This window comes from Homo sapiens, chromosome 4 (assembly GCF_000001405.40).
Source record: "Homo sapiens chromosome 4, GRCh38.p14 Primary Assembly".
NCBI classification, from domain to species: domain Eukaryota; kingdom Metazoa; phylum Chordata; class Mammalia; order Primates; family Hominidae; genus Homo; species Homo sapiens.
In genome coordinates, this window is record NC_000004.12 from 142,839,122 (window position 1) to 142,849,574 (window position 10,453).

General features: G+C 39.5%; 1 protein-coding gene and 1 long non-coding RNA gene across 12 annotated transcripts in view, besides 1 other annotated feature; both read right to left on the reverse strand.

Moving 5' to 3' along the window:
• Positions 1-7,414, reverse strand: part of INPP4B (inositol polyphosphate-4-phosphatase type II B) — an 823,376-nt gene extending 815,962 nt beyond the window's left edge. For 7 of the 11 annotated variants that reach the window (NM_003866.3, XM_047416359.1, XM_047416356.1 and 4 more), the window contains exon 1: positions 7,088-7,414. The gene's annotated coding sequence lies outside the window, so the exon portion shown is untranslated. The remainder of the gene's footprint in view (positions 1-7,087) is intronic. The other 4 variants (NM_001101669.3, NM_001385336.1, NM_001385335.1 and 1 more) reach the window with 1 other exon arrangement.
• The window catches only part of USP38-DT (USP38 divergent transcript), a 396,420-nt gene that overhangs the window by 50,680 nt on the left and 335,287 nt on the right, over positions 1-10,453 (reverse strand). The window lies entirely within an intron of this gene.
• Positions 7,937-8,523: an enhancer, noted in NCBI's record as "H3K4me1 hESC enhancer chr4:143768211-143768797 (GRCh37/hg19 assembly coordinates)". NCBI's record gives its function as "activates a minimal SCP1, AML or CMV promoter by ChIP-STARR-seq in naive and primed H9 embryonic stem cells {active_cell/tissue: H9 hESC(naive and primed)}" and the evidence as "EXISTENCE:reporter gene assay evidence [ECO:0000049][PMID:30033119]".

A 10,453-nucleotide genomic window follows, 5' to 3' on the forward strand; every position in this document is an offset into this window, starting at 1 on the left:
TTCCATGGGTCTGCTATATCTACAATGTCTGCCGCTTATAAAAGTAAAACTTTGGCTGGGTCTGGTAGGCTCATGCCTGTAGTCCCATCACTTTTGGAGGCTAAGGCGGGTGGATAACCTGAGGTCAGGAGTTCGAGACCAGCCTGGCCAACATAGTAAAACCTCATCTCTACTAAAAATACAAAAATTAGCCTGGCATGGTAGTGTGCGCCTGTAATCCCAGCTACCCAGGAGGCTGAGGCAGGAGAATCACTGGAACCCGGGAGGCAGAGGCTGCACTCCAGCCTGAGCGACAGAGCAAGACTCCATCTCAACAACAACAACAAAAAAAATGACATAGGACATAAACTGAAGTCTATACCTCAATCATGTAACAAGTTCAAGTACTTAATTTACCTAATGCCAAGAGTTTGGACTTTTAAAGTAAAATATGTAGTGTTTTTACTATAGTAATTATTTTTTAAATTTTCCTTTGTATGATAAAAATATTTGTAAATAACTGCTTTGTAAGTGTATTTCTTTTGATGTAACTTCTAAGGTTTGCTTCCAAAAACTCCTAAGAGGGAAAATGTGAGTGGGACTGTAAATGAAATGAGAATGGCCACAATTTGACAATTATTGAAACTGGCTGATGGGTATGTGGGAATGCATTGTACTACTCTTATTTTCTACCTTTGAAATGTTACATAATAAAAACCTTTTAAAAAAGGAAATGCATTTCTTAATTATGCCAATTTGGGTTCATTAACTTAATTTCTTTGTTCTCCATTCTTACAATAGCCACATCCAGTGAACATGGCTGAAATGTCCACCACATTGATCTTGAGGACATTCCAACCAGACACTTAAACAATACAGAGATCGCATTCTGATGCACAGATGACAGAATAAATTAATTGACTCAGCTATGTCCCATAATTTAATTATTCAGTCAAAGGCAAGGGTGTATATATCCAGCTTAACCAAGAAGAAATTGTAAAACAAGTTTCAGCTGTCATTGTAACCAATAAATTATAGTACTATATGGCTGATTCAATTTGGTCACTGGTGACCGGGTCATCACTATAACAGAGGACATTAGGGGATCTGCTGAAGTGTCATTGAGGTAATTTGCACTTTTTTTGCATTCTTCCAAGGGCAATGCAACAGAAAAAAAATAATAGTTATAGTCTTTGACTCCTAGAAAAAAAGAATTTGCTCAGCAGATGCTGTGAGGGGATTAGGATTAAAAATGCAAATGGTTAATACAATATCTATTTTAGAATAATCATAAGTTTTTTTCTATCATGTTCATTTAATTTTTTTTCCTTTCTCTTACCCAGACACAAACAGAATTTTAGCATATTTAATTTAATTCCTAACAGTTCCTCACATAAGCAGATCTCACATAAAAGCAGAGTGTGTTAAATATTACAATCAAATCTTTAAAGTATTACTCATAATAGATCTTCTGAATATACTACTAAGAATTTAGGTGCCTGTTGACTTTAACTTTATTAACTCACTATGATGTAAATAAATTATGTTTAAAAGAAAAGTTTTAAAAAATGAATATATTGCACTTAAAATGACTCAAGGTTTCTAAGCATTGCACACTGCCACCTAGTGCTAAATGTCTCTTTAACACCAAATGCACAATGGATGTCTTCCACAAAGTGGAAATGCTATATTTTAAACAAAATTTATTCAGAACAACAGGTCTAAAATACTTTATTCATAATTCCTTCAAAATAAGAATGCTATTGGAGATAAATGCAATGACATATACCATAAAATCACACCCATCTCAAATTAAAATTTAAAAGATCTGAATGGATTAGTTAATATAAAAAATTGCAAGTCTTGTTAATAAAGACATCCTCTTTTTAAAAACAAAGTGATTTACAGGTTTTGTTAAGGAAGACAAGAAATTTTTACTTTTTTAAAAAAAAGTGATTTTTAACTACTGCGCATCAATTATGCAGCTATTCTCTTATGAATGTGATGTATGCTAATCTCTAAGTGGAATATGTGGTTATCTAGCAAGTTTCGCATAAGAAGATGTTGAAAAAGACATCATAGAGTGTTAACTGATCACTAACAGTACTTTAAAGCTTCCTTGGAGATAACCATAATCTCCATGCACCTATAGGTTCTAACTTCAATTAAAGATCCCACTGGTTTTAGTCCTACTTTATTTTTTATTTTCCCAGCATTGAATAGTTTTTGTGTTTTGGTTGTTCTAATGGCAAGAGCTCATCTCTGATCTTTTGGCTAAGAAAGCAAAGCCCCATGAAAATGAATGAGAACCATTTTGAAAGAACTAAAGGAAAGATTGCTATTGATGGTCAGGGAGTATATTCTATTTAATTCATTGTATTCTAAAATGGTAGTCCCCAAGTCTGATCTACTTAATGCACTACAACTATCTATTCTAAGAACTAAGGTGAAAGGTGAAAGGCTCATATTTCTGTCAAATTTTTCATAGTAAAAAATATTAAGAGGATTCCTTGTAAATCATTGTTGCTTAACATTTAAAAACTCACACTCTCTTTTGAGAAACATAAAAATCTCGAAGTTCTCCTTCAAAGCTATTTAAAATATATAAATAAATGATCTATTATAAACAACTAGTAAATGAAAATTTTTAAAAATCATATTTTTCTTTTGATCTTGGAAGATGCTTTACATTGATGCTGTTACTCCAATCATTAGAAGTCAGCATGACAATTAAAGTTGTCTGTGTATCTCGCAAACTTTTCTATCCTTGTAAAACAACAAAGAAAAACAATTGAGTAATTTCACCATTGTTTTTTGTATTGCTTTATTTTCATAACCAGAAGAGTATGTAAAGATAGATAGATAGACACAGATAGATAGATTGATAGATAGATCGATAGACAGATAGATAGATACAGGCTCTCCTTTTAAGGGAGGAGATGTTGCCTTCATTCCCTTGAATATTATTGATTTAGATAATTCCCAAAGAAATGTATAACCAAAACCACATGATTTGAAAAACTTCTCAAAATTTCCTTTAATCAGTTTAAACAAATTACTGCCAATTCTATTTCACTTAGTTCTTCATAGGGCTATTTAAAATCAGGACACCAAGTTGGCATGGCTGCCTAATACAGAAGATAGAATTTACTCAAAATACTGCAACTCAAGAAACTCAGTTTGAAATATATTATTTAAGGACATATACTGTATTGAAACCCAATTCACATCATGCTGGAATGACATCTATTATAATAGCTAATGTTTGGTGAAATTACACAGTCCATTGAAAAAAATCTAAAGTTCTGGCTCCTAGATATTCCATTGGCCTTATGGTATACCATTGATAGCAAGATACTTCCAAGAAATAAGAAATAAGATAGTGAGTACAACTGTGCCTTATTTAAAAAACTATTACATATATTATATTATAATATATACAATATCTATTATATATAATATATAATATATGATATATAAGATAGTTATTGTATTATTATATGTATAATATATAATATATTTATATATAATAATCCTAACATAATATATTATGTTAATATATAACATAATATAATATTAATATATTAATATAATATATAATATATAAATATAATATATTAATATATTATAATATTAATATAATATATAATATATCTATAATAATCCTAACATAATATACTGATATATAAATATATAATTATATATAAATATGTATGATATATATAAATTTATATATCATATATATCAAAATATATATAAATAATGATATATATAAATATATATGATTATTATATATTTATATATAATAATATATATACTATATATAATATACTGGATATATATAAATATACATATATAAATTATATATAATGTAGTCCATAAAATTTCCTAAACATTTTAAATGTTTCTTTTAATCTACAAGGTAGTGAAAATATATTTAAAAAAATAAACTAACACAGTTTGATTCAAGTGACCATTGTGCCTGAGACTGAAAGAGTAATTAAAATTTTTGCACATATCTTAATGTCTTTTCTAGGTATATACTGATCTTTTCTAGGTATATACTGCTCTAAAGTTTTAGAACACAAAGACTACATGTATCTTGCACAACAAAATTCAATCATAGCATCATCACTTGGATTCATCTAAAAATAAATGTTTAAACTAAAATTATTTAATAATCTCATTTCTGAAGCCTAAATATTATAGTATATATGATTAGAGTATGCTCTAAAGAGCTCTCTAATCAAAGGTTTCTAGCTCAACATTTTTTAAAAGTATTAACAAAGTGGCCTATGGAAAAGATTCCTTAAGGCTTTAGAAAGATATACAGGACATGTTGAAAAACTAAGGTACATAATACAGAAGAGACTCACACAGCTTTCACCTGAACATTTAACTTGAGATTATTTAAAACAGGGCATTTCTATCTATTAAAATCCCCATAGTTGTGAAAGACAAAAATTTATTTTGTACAGATTAGGTATGATATTTGTATATCTAATATTAGTACTACTGGGCATCACTCAGTATGAAATAAGAAAATGTAATAGATATTCAGTAAGCATTTTACTCACTAATTATGATTCCATAATTTCTTAACTTTTTGTTCTCAGATGTCAAATACTTACCTAGAAACTGCCACTCATTTGGTTGCTATGAGTTTTAAGATCAGTTAGCAGGTTTTTTTTCTGTCTTTCAGAGAATTGTCATCTTGGGTTCTCCCTCAAGGTAGTGAAAGTTAACTTTGTTACCCATCTGGGGATTTATAGTACTTATACTAGAAGATGCTCCAAGGTTTCAGAAAGGAATTAATTACTTTCAATTTGCACAATTTAGAACAAATATCTGGCTTTTCCCTAAGCTTAATGATTTTCCATTTCACACAACTAAAATATAATAGCATTATTTTATAATCAAGTTTAACTGATGGTCTATGATAGTAGAGCGATTTAGTATTTTGACAAAAATCTTATGAGACATGAAGTCATTCAATTTGCAGCCCCAAACTGAAGCTCAAACACAACATTTTAAAAGTATTTTCTGCCTATACCTTTGACTGCATGCTACTTTAAATAGAGGGACAAGACTAAATGGTCTATCTGGTTGTTCTTACACTTTATAAAGAGTCAAAAGCAAATTTGAGTTATAAATATGCACATCATAGTGATCATTATTTTATCACAAATAAATATTGATTTGCTTAATCAAAGAGAATACTCTCCTAGAATAAGAGCAGTATTTCAATCTGCAAACATGTTTCTTAATGTCACTGAGCATTTAGCCTATCTTCACACACACATTTCATAACCTTTCAAGGACAATCTTCTACATCACATTTTAAGGAAATACACTGAAAAAGCAATCCATTTTGCAATAGCATTTTACATTACTACAAATTCACGAGGTTCAACCTTCAATGCCCATGTACCTTTCACAAAACTATTGATCATTTCCTATCAATGCTTTACAGGATTATATCACAAAGGAACACATAATGCATGTATGTGCATCAATGCGTAAAGGAGAGGATGCATTTCTGTGCATAGTATGTGAACTGACAATGCCCACTTGCCCAGTCCTTGCTTTACTCAACTTCTTACACATCATCAGCCAGCTGCCCTGTTGATGATTCCTTGCACCTTATGCGCTGCTTTATCATTGAGTCAGATTACTACCATTTCTGGTCCAGAACTCATTAAGAAAAGTCCTTTTTCAAGCAAGGTCTTTGAAATGTAGTTGTACACCTATAAAAGAACTATCTGGAGCTCATCTTGAGAGAGAGAAGATGAATTTATCCTCTGTCTTTAGGCTTTTACTTACAGAGCCACACCTTTATAAACAAGTTCTGTCTGTCATACTGACAGGAAGGAGATATGCAAAATGTAACATCTGGAGTCATAAAATATAATGACCTCAAATAACATTCCAGAAAGAGAAAGGAAAACTAGTTCTGGTTAGGGAGAAGATAAAAGAGGAAAAGGAGTAAATTTACATCCTTAAAACAAGAGTAATAGAAAACCCTACCGGGTTTTTCCAGTAAGTTTTGTGCAGCAGCAGCAACAACCTAATCAATATGTGCTTCCTCACCCTCTTGTCCCCAAAGAGAAACTGCTGGGCCCCTCTCCACCGACTCCCCAGGAGCAGAAACTACTGCCCCCAAGGAAGGGAGAATTCAGAAGCGTGGGGAGGGGGAAAAACAGGTATATGTGGTTCTAGCATCCTCATCTTCATATCAGCTACCAGCCTGAAACTACATTCAGGAACCAGGCTCCCAGACATTCCCCGGCCCTGGGCCCTGCCTGAGCGCCAGAGAGCTTGAGGAGCCTGCAGCATAGTTCTCAGACCCGAAACAATGACCTCCCCCGTCCAAACCCAGGCACTCTTGCGCCAAGGCCCTAACCTCTCAGCGAGACCTCTTTGGGGAAGGACAAGAGATGCTGCCTGATGGCCGAGAGAAGACATGCCAGGCTTCTCTGCCAGAATGAGTTGTTGAGGGTGGGATGAAGGTGGTCAAGGAGATGGGCTCTTTATTTTTAAAACAAAAAACAAGGCAACCGGGACCACCAACATCAGTCACCCTCACTCCCCACCACTGCCTCTATTCCTTAAGGACTTCTTCCCAGGCCGGCGGCGGCGGCGGCGGCGGCGGCGGCAGCTTGCGATCATCAGGATTGGAAGTGAGAGCGAGTGCCCGGGCCAACCTCAGCGTCTCTCAGGGACAGCGCAGGTGGGCGCAGCCTTGGAAGGTCAGCGAGGCCAGAGCTCAGAGTTCCACGGGGGCCCGGAGAGTGTGCGTGTGTGAGTGAGAATGCGAAAACGCGCGCGCGCCGGGCAGAGGGGCGCTCGGCGAGAGGGTAGGCGCGGTGACAGGGGTACCCCAGCAGCCGAGGAGAGACAGCCCACCCCACCCTTTAAGCTAAAGAGCTGGAGGGGTGATGGAGGCTGCAAGACGGAGAAACTTGATGCAAAACAGACAGGCTCCCCCCTCCAAGACGTGCCGCCACGCTCTCAGACACGCTCCCTCGCCTCCCGGATTACCCACCATCAACCACCCCACCCTGCAAAATTCCCCCACCGAGCCCTAGGATCCCAGGCGGGTAATTACCTCTCCCGGAGGCGGAGTGGGGGGCGGCAGCAGCAGCAGACACTTTTAGCCTGACTTTCCTGCGTTCGCTTGCGAGCGTGTGAGCGTGTGCGCGCCCAGGAGGAGCTGTAACCTGCTATTTATAGACCGAAGCCTCAGTACCCGGGGCTGAGAACCCGGAGGAAACTAGCAGGCGGCGGCGACGGCGCAGGGCGCCGGCCGCGGCTTCGCGAGGCTCCAGCAGCTCCCCCAGCCTCTGGCTTCGGCCGCGCTCCCTGCTCGCTCCTCGCCTACCAGCCCCGCGCGCGCCCCAGAGAAGTTGTCACCAGCGCGGCTGGCTCTCCGGCTGCTCACACGCCCCCTGGCACAATTGCTACTTTCTTCCACCCCAACCCCCACCCTCCCCGCTCCTCTTCCTCCTCCTCTGCTCTCTCCAAGCGGTCTCCTCCCAATGTCACCAGCGACCGAGTAGAGGCGGCCGTGGCAGCGACAGTCGCGCAACTGGCGCTGCTCGCTTCCCGCTACTGATAGAGCGGAGATGGTGGCCCGGCTGCCCACCCCGAAATTACCACGCTGGCTCCGTGTGCTCACACCCCGTACCCCGACCCCTTTCTGCGGCCCCTCTGCCCGCTGGGTCGCCCACCCAGACTGGGCTGTGGGATCACCGCTACCGCGACGAGGGGGGACCCGAGGCCGCCACGCTGCTGCGGGGGCAGGAGAAACCACAGAGAAAGAACCCGCGGGAGGAAGAAAGCGCCCCAGACCCCGGCCTATGGCAGCGCAGTCCCTAGACCGAGGGTTTTTGGAAGGGGCTTGGGATCCCTGCTGTCACTGCCTGCGTCTAGGCATCCATTCACGCCTGCTGGACCCCAGTCTGCAGCCGCGCTGGGACCCCTGTCTCTTGCCCCTCCTCCCCCTTGCCCCGGGCAGAGGTCGGGCTGAGGAGACCAGCTTAGAGCAGCCCTCGGCCACCCACCGCCAGTTCCCACGTCGCGGCGGGTGACTGAGGCCGAGATGCTCCCAACTAGCGTATGACATGCCTTTGATATCCCGGGTGCGTGGGGACAAATCCGCCCTGAATGTGTTGGGGTATCAGGAAAACGGGGTATGTAAGCAAGCAGTCTGGACGGAGACTAAAACTCCCCCACTTCCTAGCCCCTAACAAGCCCACAGGGGAAAGCACGCACCCTGGTTATTCCGGGCTGTGTAGGGTGTGGGGCAAATGACTCTCCCCATCTGCGCTTTACAGGTGCCACCTGGCGGCTCTCTCGGAAAGGTTTTGATGGAGCCGTTCAAAGGTAAAGGTGCCCAGAGCCAGCCCATCAAGACACCCCAGCCCTTCTCCCTGAGGGCGCTTTAAAATCACATTTTAAGTAAAGCAGTGTACGAATGCTTGTACACAAGTGTTACATTTGCCATGCAAAAAGACTGGAATCTCAAAGTCAGGACAGTGAAATCAATTTGGGTTAAGTCGGGGCTTAACAGTTTCACAAACCAGGAAGCTGTATGTACCCCCAGCTGTCACCCCTGCTGTCACTGCCCGCATCTAGGCATCCTTTCACTCCTCAAACCTTTGACCACCACATTATAAGCCTTGCCAATGAGGACAGGGACTTTGGGTTTGTTTTGTTTTGTTTTGTTTTGTTTTGTTTGGTGGGGGGAGTTGTTTGTTCGTTTCATTTATTTTTTTCATCACTCTGCTCCCAGAGCTTGGGACAATACCTAATATTCTGTAGTTTCAATAAATGTTTATAGAATCAAATAATAAACACTATAGGCCAGAAACTGCTTGGCGCCCCCGAAGCCCTTCCTTTTGCTTCTCTTCAAGCTTTTTCTCCTATGCTCAGCCTCTACCCCAAGTGAGCTGAATGCAGAGAGATAGGAGAGTGAGGAACAAATAATCCCTGTCAAGATGTGGATCAGCTTTGAGAAGCCTTCACACAGTTAGATTTCTCCTCCATGGGGCAGCACTGAACACACCCATCTCCAAGCAATGGGTAAGCCGTGTTCATAGAGATCTGCTGGAAAGATGATACAACTTTCTCACTGGGCAGTTTCTGATTTTTCTCACAATAGAGAGAGATTGAAATAATATCAGGACATTAGGATGTCAGAGCTTTGCTACTAAATTGGAAATATGGTTAACATATCTGTCCTCTAAGTGGAAGAGTGTGTGTGTGTGTGTGTCTGTGCGTGTGTGTGTTTATGAAGACTACAGCAGCAATGCCAGAAATACCAAACCATACCTCCTAAAAGACTGAGTTGTAAAATAAATGCAGTTACTGATTCTATGGAAATGGACGTTTAAAGTGAGATGCTTAGAGGACCCTATTATAATTAAAGTCCAGACATGGACCATGCTGACAAAGTCCTTTTACAGGGCGGCTGAAGAATATGTGACTTACTTGTGTACATCACGTAGGAAGTTTGAATTCTCAGAAAAGAGAGAATATGAATCAGGATGCCATCAGATGCATGTACCACAAGGCATTTTTAAAAATCCATCAATCATCCTGATATTTACCTTTTTTAGTTATTTGGTGGCTTTTTCCTTGAATAAGCCTGGAGGATTCAGATGCTTCCGTGGTTTAATAAACTCATTCAGCATTCACTTTTACAAACCTTGAACTTTTGCTGACTTGTACCCCCAAAACATAACTCCATTTGCCAATGAAGGACAAAATATTTTTCATTTCCTTTTGAAATATCTTTGTAGGGCCAGAAGTCAAAGGTGATTCCCTGTAGTTACCTTGCTGTCTAAAGCAATAAAATCAAGCCAGGATCTACAGGGTTGGTGTCACACTCGCCTTTGCAGTGAAGCAGCCTACACTCTCTCCATAGATTCATTGTTCCTCTAGATTTTTATCTCAGGTGAGATTAATATGACATCATATCTACTTTTATGATCCTTCACTATTCAAAATCTCTTCTAGAATATAGCACCAAGCATCATATAGGTTTTTTAATGCTTACTCAGTTATGTTAACAATAACTTGTAAAGTAAGTCCTTGTTTTCATCTCAATTTTTAAAAACTTAAAAATTACAGAAACTTTGTTATGTATACATTAGCATCATCTCTTGTGTGTATATTGTGTGTGTATGTCTGTGTGTATTTAAATTAAGGGGGATGTTGTTAGAAATAAGAACTAAAGTAAAAAGGATAAATTATTGTAAAGATACTTGGCTGCCCCATGGAACCCCAAAACAAGAATGCAACTGGGCACTAGGAATGACTGGAAACAGACAGGCCATTAGAACTTTCTCTGTCTCTTTTCCCCCACTACATTAACTGTCCCATTCTGTATCTCTCTCCCTCTTTCTCTCTCTCCCCACATACATTGTCTCACTCTCTGCTTCTCTGGTGTGCACTAAATTGCATGGTGGCT